The 18,034-nt window shown below is 44.6% G+C and overlaps 1 long non-coding RNA gene across 8 annotated transcripts in view; it reads right to left on the bottom strand.

The window, feature by feature from the left end:
- Window positions 1-17,509, bottom strand: part of TTTY14 (testis expressed transcript, Y-linked 14) — a 205,047-nt gene extending 187,538 nt beyond the window's left edge. For 2 of the 8 annotated variants that reach the window (NR_125734.1, NR_125733.1), the window contains exons 1-2: window positions 17,007-17,509; window positions 8,686-8,760 (exon numbers count right to left, since the gene is read on the bottom strand). This is a non-coding gene — a long non-coding RNA (testis expressed transcript, Y-linked 14). Of the gene's footprint in view, window positions 1-8,685; window positions 8,761-13,460; window positions 13,524-15,902; window positions 15,992-17,006 lie in introns of those variants that run through there. The other 6 variants (NR_125736.1, NR_125737.2, NR_125735.1 and 3 more) reach the window with 4 other exon arrangements.
- Between the last annotated feature and the right edge of the window lie 525 nt (window positions 17,510-18,034).

Consider the following 18,034-nt stretch of genomic DNA (forward strand, 5'->3'; position numbering starts at 1 on the left):
TAATTAACAATATTTACAAACTAAGAAATCAAAACCAAATGATAAATAAATGTAAAAAAAAAATTATAGGGCCAAGTATGGTGGCTCACACCTGTAATCCTAACACTTTGGGAGTCCAACGCAGGTGGATCACCTGAGGTCAGGAGTTTGAGACCAGTCTGGCTAACATGGTGAAGCCCCGTCTCTACTAAAAATACAAAAATTAGCCTGACATGGTGGTGCACACCTGTGGTCCCAGCTCCTCAGGAAGCTGAGGCAGGAGAATCAATCAAACTTGGGATGCAAATGTTGCAGTAAGCCAAGACCACGGCAAAATAAATTATAAAATTCAATGTCCATTCCTGATAAACACTTAGCAAACTTGTAATAGAAGGGAACTTCCTCAACCTCATAAAGTGCCTTTATGGAACTCTACAGCAAACATCACGGTTAATGGTAAAAAAAGTAGGCGCTTTCCAATTACCGTCAGAAATAAGCCTGTGATGTCCACTCTCATCACTTCTTTTGAACACTGTACTGCAGGTTCTAGCCCAAGAGAAATGAGATAAAAGGTATCCAAGAAAGGAAAAAGTAAAACTGACTTTGTTTATTTCTGTAGAAAATCCAACAGAATCTATAAAAAGACACCAGAATTAATAATTGAGTTTAGTATGGTTGTAGGATACAAAACCAGCATATTTACAAAGTTGGTTTCCATCCCAGTTTAAAAAAAAATCAAAAATTAGAAAAGCAAAACCATTTACAACAGTATCAAAATATGAAATACTTAGGGATAAATCTGAAAAAAGATGTGTGAGATTCATACACTGAAAGCTAAAGCATTGCTAAGGAAAGCACAGTCCACCTAAATCAATGGAAGGATAAGCTGTGTTCATGAGTCAGAAGGCTCAAATTCACCAAAATGTCACTTCCTTCCAAATTAATCCACAAAGTCACTGCAATCGCAATTAAAATCCCAGCAGGCTTTTAAGTGAAAACTGACAAATTGATTCTAAAATTCATACAGAAATGTGAAAGACCTAAGATAACCAAAACATGTTTGAAAAAGGAAAAAAGTTGAAGGACTAATATTCTTTTGACTTAAAGGTTTATTAAAGCTACAGTAATCATGATGGTGTGTTTCTGGTGTAGTAACAGATAAATAAATTAAAGGAACAAAATGATGTCCAGGGGCCCAATGCAGTGGCTCACACTTGTAATCCCAGCACTTTGGGAAGCCAAGGGAGGAGGACTGCTTGAACTCAGGAGTTTGAGACCAGCCTGGGCAGCACAGCAAGACCCCATCTCTACAAAAAATTCAAAAAAGAATAAAGTAGTCGAGCATGGTGGGGCACGGTGGTGCATGCCTGTAGTCCTAGCTACTTGGGAGGCTGAGGCGGGAGGATCGATTGAGCCCAGGAGTTTGAGGCTTCAGTGAGCTATGATCATGGCACTGAGCTCCAGCCTGGGAGACTGAGTGAGACCCCATCTCTTAAAAAAGAAAAAAAAAATTGTCCAGAAAGAGACACTCCCATATATTGACAATGGATTTTTTGACAAGGATACAAGGCAACACAGGGAAGAATGGATTCCATTTATATGAAGTTCTAGAAAATGTGAAGTACCCTAAAGGGACAGAAACCAAATTGGGATGGGAGAGGGCAATTTTGAAGGGGTCCTAGGAAGCTTTGGTAGGGATAGATGCATTCATTGTCTTTATCTATAATGTATTCATACCCAAAATTTGTCAAAGTGTATACTTTAATTAAACTACAGTTTATTACATGTCAATAATATCTGAATAAAGTTGTTGGAGGAAAAAGCAGCAGTTGCCAGGCTTCAAATGCCAAGCGAAACAGGAAGGAAGAAATAAAATTATTATTTAGGGCTTACATGTGCCACTCTGGCAGTTACTTTAATAGTCATTAGCTCATTTAATCCCTCGCAAAAGGCCGTGAGAGGAGATATAATCCCAATTCTTAGAAGAAAACCAAAAGCAAGGAAAAATAAAGTAACTTACTCATGGTCATAGCTTATCACTAAGATTCAAAACCTTTCTACAAATCCTGCCCTATAGAAAAAGGGTTGAAATGTGATCCATTATGTGACAGGCACACAAGGGGAAACACATACCCCAGATAACAGTGAGGTAAGCTTATCCAAGTCCAGGTCAATGTGGATCGGTCTGAGGAGAGAGGCGTGAGTGACCACACTGAGGAGAGGCAGCCATGGGTGTTTTGTACACAGACTAAATGTATGTAGGGAATATTGGTTAACATGATAGACTTAGATGGGGAAAAAAAATTCTCTAAGAAATCTCATGAAAGCATAGGCACCAAAGCCTTCCATTCTACATCCTCAATCTAAAAGCATGACTGCGGTTGCGTGCAGTGGCTCCTTCTTGCAATCCCAGCACTCTGGGAGGGCTAGGTGGGAGGATCATTTGAGCTCAGAAGCTGGAGTCCAGCCTGTGCTGGACAGTCAGACACCATCTTTATTTTAAAAATAAAACATAAAAATAAAGCACTATTGAACCTCCAAACTAGGTACTATCTGGAAATTCTAACAATTTCCCAATCACACCGTTTGAGAAGCTGTGTGCAAAACCTAAAAGCCTGCTGCCCTCAAGTCCTGTGTGGTGTGGTGCTCTCATCTCCCTCAAGAATTCACAAAACAGTAAGAACTCACCAAGTTACCTGCAGTTCTGAAGGAGTTAACAGGAAGTGATTTTTGTTAGAGACTGCTGTAAGAAAAAGCTTCAGGTAACAAATTAGGCCACCATGGAGATACTTAAGGCATGATTTCATTTACTATCCAAATCAACTCATGATACAAATAAGACTTGGAGTCTTAAGGAAAAACGAACACTCAAAGGATTTTTTTTTTTTTTTTTTTGAGACGGAATCTCGCTCTGTCGCCCAGGCTGGAGTGCAGTGGCACAATCTCGGCTCACTGCAAGCTCCGCCTCCCGGGTTCACGCCATTCTCCTGCCTCAGCCTCCCGAGTAGCTGGGACTACAGGCGCCCGCCACCACGCCGGGCTAATTTTTTGTATTTTTAGTAGAGACGGGGTTTCACCGTATTAGCCAGGATGGTCTCGATCTCCTGACTTCGTGATCCACCCGCCTCGGCCTCCCAAAGTGCTGGAATTACAGGCGTGAGCCACCGCGCCCAGCCTCAAAGGATTTTTAAGCAAAGCAAGTTTATTTTTGCACAGAAGGGTGCCTCTGGTATGTCTGGTTGCCACGAGAGCACCCCAAACAAAGGAGAATAGAAGTTTTTATTTTTAAGGCAACTTTTGTCTGCCTTTTTCCTACTGGCTGGGGTTGGACCACACAATCTAAACTAGGCTCAACTGGTTAAACATTTAAACTTTTTTAGATAAGGTGGGCGCATGATGGGAGAGAGGGTGGAGGAGGAAGGGGTGGTTTATGACAAACTAGAGAGCCAGTCTTTTCCCAGATAAGGCAAGGAATGTGAGTTGGTGCTGATAATGCTACTGGTGCTGTGGCACGCCCGGGCAGGTAGTAAAGACAAGGAGAAGAAAAGGAGAAGAAAGGGCGGTGGGGTGGAGTTGGGGGCATGTACTGGGAATTAAAAAATAAAAGGCTGAGCAGGCTGTTATGAAGAAAAACCTTGCCATATCTCACAACTCACATGCAACTCCTCACAACAAAGAAGAAACAGGAAAACATTCATCTAGCAATGTGTCTTAGGTCCTTACTCCAATTACAAGACCATGAACATCATGAGCGATGGCTACCACCTACACATGCAGCCCTGCCAAACACCACATGCTCATTTTATCTCCAGACAAATCTCGTCTCATAAAATGGGAAGCTGTCATACCCTCGGATCTCCTCCAGCCCTAATACTCAGGTGACTACTTGGTAAAGGTGCTCTTCATTGAGCAGGAGAAACCATCAGGATTAGGGGCAGAAATGTAACATAGCAGCACATCTTAGGGTTCAGAGTCTGAGAGCAATTTCCTATCCTTCTTCTGAGACTGAAGCTCCTGTCAACACTGCCCAATAAACACTCACAGTACACAGCTAAGGATGGAAGCCAGAAGAGTAAGAGGCAAACAGGGATGCTAAGTTTGCACCCTCCTGTTCCAACCTGAGTATCATCTGTGTTTTTGTGTTTGTATGGATCTGGGGGAATGGTACCAAGATCTCTAAGGTGCAATATTAGAAGATCTGAACATTTACTAAGGGGAAGGGAAAGGGAGAAAGAAAACGATCTGACTCAACAATAAACCTAGGAATGAAAATAAGGAGGCTCACTGGCATTTGAAACAAAGCAGTAGCAAGGCCGGGCAGAAGCAGCCATGGCGGCACAATCAGGGACTAGCGTCACACGCACATCACACCCTTCTGATCCATTATATTTATTTCCTTTTTTTTTTTTTGAGATGATGTCTTCTTCTGTCCCCTACGCTGGAGGGCAATGGCACAATCATGGGTCACCACAACTTCAACCTCCCATTCCACTGCGCCCAGCTTGTTCCATTTTAATCAAAAAATTAAAGAAAGAAAGAAAGAAAGAAAAAAACAATGGGTTAATGAGAGGAGCACTAATAAACTGAAATTGTGTTTATCACTTTCGGGAATAGTTCCTAACATTGCTGTTAGGTCACAGAGGATCTGGGCATAGCAAATGTGGCCCAGCTGCCTCGTCAGCAGCACACACAGGGCAGAGACCAGAGAAACACTCTCATTACCTTCAATGACCCATTTTTTACAGCCAGGGTCCAAGAAACAGAAATGCACATACAAGCTATGACCCTAATAAAGACTCAGACTCAACACTGAAAAAGAAGGAAAACCAAATTGGAGTTGGTTTTTCTTTTAATGCCCTTCAAATCTATAAATAGGATGTCTATTGTGTGGACATCCCAATCCACATAATTCTTAGGAAAAAAAAGTTCCCTCTGTGGTTAAGCAACCTGATGTCTCCATACCACACCTGAACATTCTCCCTCATCCCACCTGTTAATTCACAATGTTCCAAAGAGAATGGATCTCAGGATCTCAAAGACCCACTGCCCCCAAGAAGCAACCTGGACATTCCACTGACATAAGCAATTGAGCATCATCACATGAATGTGTCTTTTTCATCCCCCAACAGTCACCCCCCAGTGCGAAGCTATCTCTGGAGGCCATCTTCTCTCCTCCAGCAGCTGGCTGTGCGCAGTTCTCCTGCACAGGTATCACCTGCACCACTGAAGCAGCCAGCAGCTTCTTCTTTTGACATTTCTCATCAGGGCTTTACATGCAAATTCCTTACTCCCATGACTAACATCAAAGAACCACACCTTAACAGAATGAAACTTTGATTATTCCTAAATTTCTCAAGGATGAGGTAATCTGGAAGTTAAACATTCTTGCACTGAGTTGTCCTCACTTGGGATGGCCTTCTAGGCCTGTCACTTGTTCGAGTACGTAAATAATGACCCAACACTTTTCTTTTCTTTTTTTTTTTTTTTTTTTTTTGAGACCGTCTCACTCTGTCACTAGAGTACAGTGTCATCATCTCAGCTCACTGCAACTTCAACTTTTGGGGCTCAAGACCCCACACCTTTGGTAAATCTGTGAGCAGTGGTTCTCCTGTTTACAGGGGCAGCAGTCCCATCAGTAGTAACTCCTGCTACGCCACCCCCCCGCATCCCCCCTCAGGACAGCCCAAAACAGTCCCTGAAGATTCAGGTGACAGATAACTGACTCCAAGAGTGCAGCATCACTAGAAAAACATTACTTACAAGGAAGGTTTGCCCCCTAGATAAAACAAACGTGACCTGATATAAAAAATATCTTAAGGCCAGGAGCAGTGGCTCACACCTGTAATCCCAACAGTTTGGGAGACCAAGGTAGGAAGACAGCTTGAGCACAGGAGTTTCAGACCAGCTTGGACAAAATAGCAAGACCCCATCTCTATAAATAAAAAGAGGAGACTCTGATAATAAAAAAGGCGGCAAGATTATTAAACCTGACAGCCCAGGAGGGGTTGATTTCAGCCCCAGCTATGAACACTTTGAAACTAAATAGCCTTTCTTAGCCCATTAATCTTAAATTATTTATATGAAACCTGATTCACTGAAAGCAGAGCCCTCAAAAGCATCCTTGTGAGGAGATTATACAGCAAATAAAAACAAATGAACCCCTGGATGACAAAGAAACAACAAGCCATTTTTAGGATAGGTAAGGAGAGGTGGCCAGGCGTAGTGGCTAACACTGTACTCCCAACCCTCTGGGAGGCAGTAGGGAGGATTGCTTAGCCCAGGATTTTGAGACCAGCCTGGGTAACATAGTGAGACCCCAGCTCTACAAAAAAACAAACAAAGACACAAGTTGCCTGGTGTGGTGGCACACACCTGTGGTCCGAGCTACTCAGGTGCCTGAGGAAGGACGATTTCCCCAGCCTGGGAGGTCAAGGTTGCAGTGAGCCACGATCGTGCCAGTGTACTCCAGCCTGGGCGACATGGCAAGACACTGTCTCAGAAAAAATAAATAAATAAAATGAAGGAGAGGCCTAGCTGACCTGTCTGATGTCAGGCCCTGAGAGATACTTTCAATGAGCCCTTGGCTCCTACTGGCACAATAATCAGTGAGCTAGAGAAACACCAGAGTAAAGGTCACCCAGGCCCTCCTGGATCTCGATAGCAAATCCAGTGCAGTCTAACACTCAAAAAGGAAACCGTGACTGGAGCAGCACTGTGGCAATGCCACAATTGTAAAACAAATTATCTCCCTCAAGATAACACCTGAAAAAGTAAAATGTTCCCATATGAGGGAAGGGCTAGTTAAGAAAAGGACTCAGCATAACTGTGGAGGGCTTATGTAAAAATAAACACAAAGAAAGTTTGCCACACAGGGCCCTTCTGTACCCGGAAGCAACTCCCTTTACGTGCACCTGGACCTGAGCACACTGCAGGGCAATGAGCCATCCAAAACATTTACTTCTGGTCTCCATTCATCTCTGTATCTGCAGTTAAGCCAAAGCGTAATTTAGGGCACTGATAGAAACACTGCCACTGGAGACAGCCATCCAATGGAAGGCTCCCTAACAGGGGCCCAGTGCTGCTGCCCCACACGCAGACCACAGAGGCTCACATCCAGAATGAAGACTGCATACTACCCACTTGAGACAACTCTCCAACACTCACATTTGTTCATAAGCTTGGCACAAGTTTAACACATTAAATGTTTATTGTATAAAATATTAAGTATTTTCTGTCAGGTATTACTGCCTTCTCAGACCATAAGCCTTTGTAAAAATCAGAACTTTTCAGACTTCCAAACAAAGTTTCAACCTAATATTAACTAGGTATCTATTAATATGCACATAGAAGTATTAGGAGATATAAAACAAAAACAAGTCCAAGGTGAGCCTAGCCATGCATTTGGGCAAACAGAATCCATATTCTTCCTTCTATACTGCTTCTACCAGCAGGCTTCTACCTTCAAAATCTCTAATCCCCTTCTATTTTGACCCAAAACTACTATCTTGGCCCACACTTTATTGTCTTGACAAAAATCTATGAGAGCAAATACCAGTCTGTCTTAGACAATAGAGCTATTTAGGAAACACATCTGTTGAGCTGATCAGAGCCAGCAGCTACACAACTGACTAACACAAGGCTCACTCCTGAGCTCTGCCCATCACACTTCCCCACATAACCATTTCCTTTCCTGAACCAAGATGCCCACTTCTCCCTCCAGAATGTATGCAAATGACACCAGTGACATCCACATCTGTCAAATGTTTCCAGGGCAGAGAATGGAGTGTGACATACAGTAGGCACAAAATAAACACCACCTAGCTTCTGCTCCACTGCCCTGTTCCCCATTCCTGCTTTATTTTCTGTCTCCTTTCCTCTATCCTTTCAAGAGCCACTCCCCTAACTAAAGTTTTCCCAATTCCCTCCACTGGGAATCAATTCATTTTCTCTTTTTCCAAGTTTTTTTTTTTTGTGAATACCTGTTAACAAACACCACTAAGTCTTCACAACTTGCTTACTCAGTCTGCTTTCCAAGTCCCCTCCCTGTTTCAAGTTTCTCCAGATTCTCTTGTAAGGATCTTCTTAAGGTTGGACATGATGCCTCATGTCTGTAATCCCAGCACTTTGGGATGCTGAGGAGGGAGGTTCACTAGCAGTCAGGAGTTCAAAACCAGCCTAAGAAACATACGAAGACCCCCATCTCTATAAAACATATTTTAAATTAGCCTGGTGTGGTGGCACCTGCCTGTAGGCCTAACCACTTGGGAGGCTAAGACAGGACAATCACTTGAGCCCAGGATCTCAGGGCTGCAGTGACCCATGATCATGCCACTGCAGACAATTTTTACTTCTATAGAAGGATGCAAGTTGCAGATGGAGTAATGGTGACAGCACACCTGGATGAGGGAGGGGAAGCAGTTTTTATTCCTGATACAGGTAGCCCCTACTGCTGTGTAATGCCCTATTGGCTAGGGTGGGACTGCACATAGTCTAAGCTAATTCCGATTGGCTATTTTAAAGAGAGCAGGGGTATGAGCCGGAGTGGCAGGCTGGGTAGTTTAGTGGGAAGGGTGGTTACAGAATAGGTGACTCAGAATGAAAAAAATAAAAAAAAAAAAAAGCACATCTTCCATTAAATCTCCCAGGTCACAGAGCCCTTCTCACCTATGATATATTATATCCTTTTTCACAGGAACCAGTACTTACTTCAAGTTTTAGTCAACTGAATGCATCTTTCTCCCAGTCAAAGCAGGGCCTGGGTCTGCACCATCTTTGTGTTTCCTAAAACACATCAGAAAAAGCTAAGTTTGTCTAGTTTTAGAAGTCTTCCATAAAACATGTAACTCATTCAAGTTGAAAAAAGACACAAAGCTGTTCTCCCACAATGGAGTGCATCCCATTGGGAAGAGCAGACAGGTAAGCTAGAAGTCAGCCACACAGTGTTTTACAATGGTGCCAAATGTGTGAATGGTCACAAAGACATAAAAAATAAGCACTGCCCTCATCAAAACTGCCAAAGTCATGAAAAACAAGGAAACACTGAGAAATAGTTACATACAAGAGACTAAGTAGACATGACAACTAAAGGCAACGTGGGATCCTGGATGGGATCCTGGGACAGCAAGGGAACATTATTGGAAAAATCTCCAGCTTGCTCAGTAGTCCCCCAACAATGCCACACTACTCTGGCCACATGGACTCTGGTGAACCAACTCAAAGCACTGCAGCCAGGTGCACGACCCTGCTCCAATCATACATGTGATGACAGGGTCCCAGTGTGGGAAGGAGAAGAATGTCCCAGTGGGTCCGTGTCCTTTCTCTGAAACCTGTGAATATCTTAGGTTGCATGGAAAAGGAAATTAAGGTTACTAATCAGCAGAGAGGGAGATGATCCTGCATTGTTCAGATGGGCCCAATGTAATCACAAGTCAAGACTAAGATTCCACTTGTAATCACAAGAGGAAGAGGGGCCAGGCACAGTGGTTCCATGCCTGTAATTCCAGCACCATCGGGGGGCTGAGGCAGAGGGACTGATTGAGACCAGGAGGCCAAGGCTGCAGTGAGCCTTGATTGTGCCACTGCACTTCAGCCTGGGCAACACAGCCAAGAACCTGTTTCCAAAAAAAAGGGGACCAGGGCAGCAGAAGAGTCAGAGAGATGCCATGAGGCTGGCTTTGAAGATTGCAGCACTACAGGCCACAGAAAGCAGGCAGCGTCTGGAACATGGAAAAGGAAAGAAAGAGATTCCCCACTGGAGCCTCCAGAAGGAACCAGCCCTACCCACACCTTAATTTTAGCCCAGGCAGATCACATTAGGCTTCTAATCAGCAGAACTATAAAACAATACATCTAAGTGTATGGCGGTTTGTTACAGCATCACCAGAAAACCAACACAGGCAGCACTGATAAAAGTGCCAGTGCTTCTCCAACGGCTGGGAGCTGTTTCCCTTCTACCTTCCGTATCTCCCACGTCACTGCTGCTTACACACCCTCCATCTGCCTTCGTCTCATCCCCCTGAACCAATGTATTTATGGACTTAGAAGAAAGCTATTAAGGAAAAGGAGAAGGTGTAGGTTAAATTCTAAGAGATATTTTCTCCTCAACTCCCGAAAACTTCACTGTGCCATTAGCCTCAACTTAAATGTCCCTCTTTACAAAAGTAATACAAAGTTTCAGCATCATCTTTTTAAAAAAGCCAGTCATCTGATAAGAACCCAAGTTTAGTAGAATCAGATCTAATCACTTTGCCAAAGAAACATAAAATTTGAATGTAAATTTCACTAAGGTTACATCTGTTTAGCATTATCTAAACTATTAAGTGAAAGTACATAGCACTTTTCTGAGTTTCATACTAAAAGATAAAGGATACAATTCAAATATACCTCTCTTATGTTAGGGGAAAAAATACCTATAAGAAAATGTTCTGATTGTTAGCATATTAATATATTATGCTCTAAAGAACTTCAAATTTCAGATAGACTATTCTCAAGGTAACAAAAAATATCTATGTATGTAATTTAAATAAATAACCAGCCAAACATACAATTCTAGTAAAGAAATATGCACAAAGTCTAAAAATTCCTTCAAATTAGAATCAACTGTGGGGTTGTGGAATACTAATACAAGTTCTCAAGACATTATTCAGCCTCCTAAAAGCTGGATTTTTTTCTTTGTCACCACCTAAAAAGGCAAGGTTTATTCAGTGCTCTGCACATCCTTTAATTAGCCAGACATCTTGGTAATAATAACTTTTTAAAAGTTAAGCCTTTCAAGAGTGGTGCTTTGGGGTTTTTTGTTTGTTTTACTTTTATTTCTTGTTTTGTATCTGTAAAACCACATTTAGAAACATGGTAGAATACTAACAAAGCTTGATATCTTAAGAGTAAAATACAGTCCCTCACTGCTTCTTACTCTCTCCTATTTTAGGTAAGTTTAAACAATATAGCCATAACAATCTTAAGTTTACATCATCATCCAGAATTAAATCAAAATCTTCTTTGATTGTGCCAGTGTGAAAGCAGGACATAAGCTAATCCCAACTCTGGTAAAACCTCAGGAATCAAGCACCCTACACAATCTTCCCATTGCTTAGAATGACTGCATTCATTATTTCAGGACATTAGCAACCTAAGTCCAAAAACTGCCACAGGGAGGAGAGAAAGTGCTACTTCGTTGTTGTTTTTTTTCTTTTCTTTTTTTGAGACAGAGTTTTGCTCTGTCACCCAGGCTGGAGTGTGGTGGTGCGATCTTGGCTCACTGCAACCTCCACCTCCCAGGTTCAAGTGATTCTCCTGCCTCAGACTCCTGAGTAGCTGGGATTACAGGTGCACACCACCACATTGGGCTAATTTTTGTATTTTTAGTAGAAACAGTATTTCACCATGTTGGTCAGGCTGGTCTCAAACTCCTGACCTCATGATCTGCCTGCCTCAGTCTCCCAAAGTGCTGGGATTACAGGCATGAGCCACCACGCCTAGCCAGCTACTTACTATTAATGCATCAAGAAAAGAGGTCTATTTGCTAATGTTACATGAAAAATAACCTCTGATATGACAAACTTATTAAGCATTTACAATAGAATTTCAATTTCATCCATTCTTAAAAGTCACATTTTTTAGAGTTAAGTAATGAGGGGGAAAGTTTCATAATTTTACCATGACAGAAAAAATTTTCATAGAAGTGATCAGAAATGTTTTGCATTGAGAAAAAGCCAACATTTTCAAATAAAGAGTGGGTGCACAGTGGTTGCTGTGTAAGTGGAAAAAAAAGGGGACCTACCGATTTTTCAGGATAATAAATAATTCAATACACAAATGCCAAGAACAAGCCTGGAAACAGGTCTCACGCTCCGCCAGCCACAGGGACACTATAACTAAGACAGCAGCACCCACACAGCCACTTCAACCTTGACCTCTAAGAGGAAAGAGAAAAAGCAGGTGTGGGGCATCCCAGAAGATGGGATTTTCAGTCAACAAGATTTGGCTCTTTCAGCGCTTGAAAAATCTCAGCCATTACTGACAGGATGGCTTACTTTTATTTTCACACTGAAAATGTGCTTTTAACTCTTTATTCACAGAACCAGTTTTCGAACTACAAGGTAAGATTTCTTAGACCTAGAACAGTGTCTGAATGTTTTCAACCACAAGCAACCAGTTTCCCTCCACCAAATATCCTTGCCTCTTACTATAAAGCCAAAAAATGAAAACAAGTCTCGATCTCCTAAATATACTCATAGTCTTTTCAAAAGCCATTTTTCACCAATTAAGTTTCATTTAAAAAGACACTTTGAAAACATAAACATGGGAAAATCAATAAGGCACACCTCTATTTTGTTGTATTTCCCTCAAAAGAAAATATTTTTTTCTTCATTAAAATGCAAAAATTTTCACATGACTCCACTTGTTCAGCTACATTTGGCCGGAAGGTACTCAAAGTTACAAATGAAACATTAAATTCTCATAAACAGCAGCAGCCAAAACTGATTTCAACCCATCCCTTACAGCATCTGAAATCCTGATGGAAAGGATGATGAAATTAGAATAAAAACAGCTTATGGCCTTCTACTTTGGCCTAAAAACCAGTCTTACTAAAACTGCTTTCACAGAAAGCATTTACTTCCCACAAAGACAACATTCCTTTTAATTATGTTTATCTCTTCTGCCAATTTTGAAAACTGTGTTCCCACCTTTATGTAAATTATAAAAGCAAACCTGTAATGAAAACAAATGGGAGCCACGCATGGTGGCTCACGCCTATAATGCCAACACTTTAGGAGGCTGAGGCAAGCCCAGAAGTTTGAGGCCTATGAAACATAAGGAGACTCCATTTCTTTTTTTATTTTTATTTTTTGTTTGTTTTTTTGAGACTGAGTCTTGCTCTGTCACCGTGGCTGGAACGCAGTGGCACAATCTCGACTCACTGTAACCTCCACCTCCCAGGTAAGCAATTCTCCAACCTCAGCCTCCCGAGTAGCTGGGATTACAGGCACATGCCACCATGCCTAGCTAATTTTTGTATTTTTTTAGTTGAGATGGGGTTTCGCCTTGTTGGCCAGGCTGGTCTCGAACTCCTGACCTTGTGATCCACCCACCTCGGGCTTCCAAAGTGCTGGGATTACAGGCATGAGCCACTGCACTAGGCCAGGAGACCCCGTTTCTAAAAAAATAAAAGTAAATTAGCTGGACATGGTGGCACATGCCTGTGGTCCCAGCCACCCAGGAGTCTGAGGTGGGAGGATCGCTTCAGCCCGGGAAGTCAAGGCTGTAGGGAACCATGTTCACGCCACTGCACTCCATAGTGAGCCACACAGTGAGATCCTGTCTCAAAAAAAAAAAAAAAAAAAGGCTTGCTAAATGCTAAAATCAAGTGATATTAAACTAAGACCCAAAGGCTGAGTAACAGTTATCTTGGAGTTGTGATGGAGGCATCTGCATGGGAGACAGCGATAGATATGTCAAAGCCATGCCAAAAACTATGGTACCTGGCTCAACTGAGGAAAGGAAAGGCCAAGGCAGCCAGAATGACGCAGGATCCGACTGGAGGCCTGAGGCGGGGTAAAAGAATGAGGCATGTATTCAGAATTAGGCCACAATCATCATTTGGGATGTTATTAAAAAAAATAACATCTGAAGTTCTGCCTTATACATACATAAAACAATATAAGCTGAATCTGACTCTAGGTTAAGAGATGCCATGAAAAAGGTTTCTCAAACAAATAAAAGCCACTTAATAATAGAACCCCTGGGCCGGATGTAGTGGTTCCTGCCTGTAATCCCAGTAACATGGGAGGCTGAGGTGGGCAGCTCACTTGAGCCCAGGAGTACAAGACCAGCCTGGGCAACATAGAGACCCTGTCTCTATATTACGAAAAGCAAGAGGCAGGAGAATCACTTGAACATGGGAGGCAGAGGTTGCAGCGAGCCGAGGTTGCAGCACTCCAGCTGGGTGACATAATGAGACTCCATCTCAAAAACAAATGAACAAATAATACACAATAAAATAATAGAAACGTCTATCAAAATTAATGAAGTGATCATTAAAGTGGATCATGTTCTAAGGCTAAAATGGCTTCTATGGGGGTCAGGTGCCATGGCTCACGCCTGTAATCCCAGCACTTTGGGAGGCCGAGGCGGGTGGATCACGTGAGGTCAGGAGTTCAAGACCAGCCTGGCCAACACGGTGAAACAAAAATTAGCCAGGCATTGTGGCACATGTCTGTAATCCCAGCTACTCAGGAGGCTGAGGCAGGAGAATCACTTGAACCAGGGAGGTGGAGGTTGGAGTGAGCGGACATTGCACCATTGCATTCCAGCCTGGACAACCAGCGAAACTCCACCTCAAAAAAAAAAAAAAATGCTTTCTAAGGCAATTATTTAGTTGCCTGAGTTCCAAGAGCTGAAGATTGACACCTTCTTTCATATGGTTTTACGATAAAAGCTAGAAAGTTGAATTGCACAGACATTCCATTTAAAATTTAAATTAAAAAAACACACACTGAAAACATTTCAACATTTCAAAACAGTAACTTTTAGTTATTTGAATTCATTCAATTTTTCTATAAAGTTTACCAAACGGGTCACAATTCCTACAGAACACTGACTACACAGCAATTTAAATAAGTTGATACAACATGCTGTTAGATAAGCAATGTATCTTCACCTATTCACTAGCAAATACCTTGCTATTAAATAACACTCATCCACTACACTTACCATTTGACCGATGAAGAGACTTATACAAGGTAATGGACAGACCTAAACACTTATTTTGGCAACCAAATGTAGATTATTTTCTGAACCAGCATTTACTGATACTCTCTCTGTTATTTAATGGATGATGGGCTCATTGCCCATATGCAAAGTAAATTTCCTCTTACATTTGATGAACCATTAATTTTACTATGTAAAACACCAAAGTACCAGTTGCAAAGTAATATTACAGGACTTGCTCAATCACTCTCAAAAGACACTAACAGAACTCTAAGTATTCCACGCAGCCAACATTTAATAAAAGAAATCAAGAGCTCAGAGACGCCAAATAAAATCTCAGGGTCTCTGATTTTGAACTATCCTAGTTATGCCATTAATGGCATTTGCACACAACAAAAATAGTAACTGTTTCAATAGTACTTTTTCCACAAGCAATATCATCTTACATGTTGGCTGAATAAGTCTCATTGCCTCAAAAAGGATCAAAAGATTCTAAGTTTTGCAGTTCAACAATTGTGAACAATTTTATTTCTCATTTCAAGTGTAAAGGATATTGCTCAAATCACCGCATGAAACTCTCTCCTCATGTAAGAAAGCCTGAAATCTGATTTCTCTACCAAAAAAAAAAAAAAAATCCAGTTCTTGCAAATGGATACAAAACTACTCATAACCTGCAAAAACCATGAAACCTAAGCATGTTACATCTTAACTGTTATAAGAAAAATAGTTAAAGCAAAGGGAGCTGTCAGAGAATCTTCATTTTCCCAGTGTCTTCCAAAACTTCTTGGAACTCGTATACAAGAATACCTTTCAAAAACACAACAGAAGCAGAAAACGTCAATCGGGCACCAGGAAAAGAGCAGGCCTAGAGAAAAACCTAGACTCCCCTGCCACCGACCTTCCCAAATGACACAGATACAAGCGTTAACAGCACAATCCCTCTGAGAGGGGATTGAAACAATGTGGCAGGTACGGACACACACACATACACACACACAGGACTGAATCAATGTGGCAGGGACACACACACACAAGACTGAATCCATGTGGCAGGGACACACACACGACTGAATGTGGCAGGGACACACACACACACAGAATCCAAGTGGCAGGGACACACATACACACACTCTCACATCACTCCCCACTCCCTTCCCCAACGCCCTGGATGATGAAATGAGAAACGGAAATTAACATTTCAGGCAACGTCTCACATTGTTCCTTAAGGGCAAGAGCTGCTGTTGAAGCCGCCACCGCCGCCGCTTTCCTCCCAACTCCCTCCTCCGACCTGCCTACCCTCCCCCCTAATAACCCCCACACTGTTGGCCCGCATTCCAGTCCCTACTCGAACCTACGCGCGCCTCCAGCAACCCTGCCTTTCGCCCGCCCCCAGCAACCCTGCCTTTCGCCCGCCCCTTCCGGCTGGGATCCCGGCAGCTGCCTGCTCTCATTCCAGAAGAGCAATAATAATAGGAACGCTGGCCAGGCGCAGTGGCTCACTCCTGTAATACCAGCACTTTGGGAGGCCAAGGTGAGCGGATTACGAGGTCAGGAGATCGAGACCATCCTGGCTAACACGGTAAAACCCCGTCTTTACTAAAAATACCAAAAAAATTTAGCTAGGCATGGTGGGGGCGCCCGTAGTCCTAACTACTCGGGAGACTGAGGCAGGAGAATGGCGTGAACCCGGGAGGCGGAACTTGCAGTGAGCTGAGATCGCGCCATTGCACTGTAGCCTGAGCGACTGAGCAAGACTCCGTCTCAAAAATAAATAAATAAATAAAATAAAAAGAATACTACTACTAATAATAATAGGGACGCTGAGAATAACAACTACGACCAGAACCGAACAGCGAAGGCGCCCCTGTTGTGTGTTAGAAGTCGGCGCCCCCCGAGTTCCGCAGCAGTCAACACCTGCCCAGGGCCCCCCTCGGCAGCCCCTCACAGCAGCCCCCGGGCTCCCAGAACCCCCAGGCGCTCCCGGAAGCCCCCAGTCGGTCCCCCACAGCCCCCTGGGGACCTTCTGCCCCGCCAGCCCCGCCCCGGAGCCCCCCGTCCGCCCCGCACAGCGGCCTCGGGTCCCCCTAACCGTCGCTCCGAGCCCCTCGAGCTCCCAAGCCCGCTTGGAGCCCCCTGTTGGCCCTTCACGACCTCCCCGAGCCCCCAAAGTCCACCGCCCACCCCGATCCCGGCCCTCCAGGCCTGACCCAAGGCCCACACAGCAGCTCTGTCGGCTGGGAAGGCCTGCAGGCTGCAAGGCCGCGCGAATGCCCCGGGCCAGCCCCAACCACTGTCCCTAGGCCAGCGGCGTCTCTTACTGGGATTCGAAGACTGGACGGCTCCCCGGCGGCTCAGCGGCGGGGCGCGAGCGCTGCCCATGCAGCCCGTGGCGGCGTTTCCCCGGCGGCGCTACCGCAGCGGGAAGGCGGAGCAGGCTCGAGGCCTGGCCGAATTGCGGGCAGGCGGTATGCTAGCCCGCCACTCGGCTGCGCGGCACCTGTTGCGGAGGACTACTGAGGGGGCATCTGGCCGCAAGCTCACCGGAGGCGCCTCCCCAACTGAAGATCTCGGTCCATCTCAGGGTGGCCTCTGACTCTCCGACCCGGCGCTGGTGCAGGCTGCATGAGAAGCTCTGGCCCATTGTCCCCGCACCCCACACCCCTTATCCGTCACAGCCATTGGCCCGCCCCAGTTGGCCGCAGGGACTGAGCAAGTTATGCGGTCGGGAAGACGTGCGTTAAAGGGCTGAAGGGGAGGGACGGAACTGACAGTCTCTGTGACAGCTCTGAGGTGGGAGTAGGAGGACGTCGCATTGACGATTGGGCAGGGTCCTGCGTAAGGGAGCACACGACCCTGGAAGTAGCGAGCAACCGGATTGGCGGTTTCCTTCGCAAACGTCTTGCCTTCTGGGGCCTGGCAATTGGTCTTTCCAAGTGTCGGAAGCGACGGGGATATGGTCTGGAAACATCTGGTTTTGAACATCTGGTATTGAAGCGCTGGGAGGCAAAACGTCTGCCCCGCGCGCCCATGCGGCGAGTGTCGGTCCGTGCCCCTGCTCAAGGACAGCTCGGGCCACGTGCGCCCCGGTCCCCAGAAGGCCTGGCTCCGGACTGTGCTGCCCTGGGGCGTCACTGGGCAAGGAGAGCAGTGGGTCGGCGTCGAGGGGAGGGGACCTGGGCTTCGGAGCGGTTGCTCCGGGTGGGCACTGGCCGCGCAACCCCTCTCCCGCGCAGAGACGCTAGCTCCACCGTGAGCGGGAACGGCCCTTGGGCGGGTTGTAGCGTTGGCTCCAGATTCCCTGGGTCTCGCGCACTGAGAGCCTGAGCCGCCTGAGGGAGGCAAAGCG

Source organism: Homo sapiens, chromosome Y, assembly GCF_000001405.40.
Source record: "Homo sapiens chromosome Y, GRCh38.p14 Primary Assembly".
In the NCBI taxonomy this organism is placed as follows: domain Eukaryota; kingdom Metazoa; phylum Chordata; class Mammalia; order Primates; family Hominidae; genus Homo; species Homo sapiens.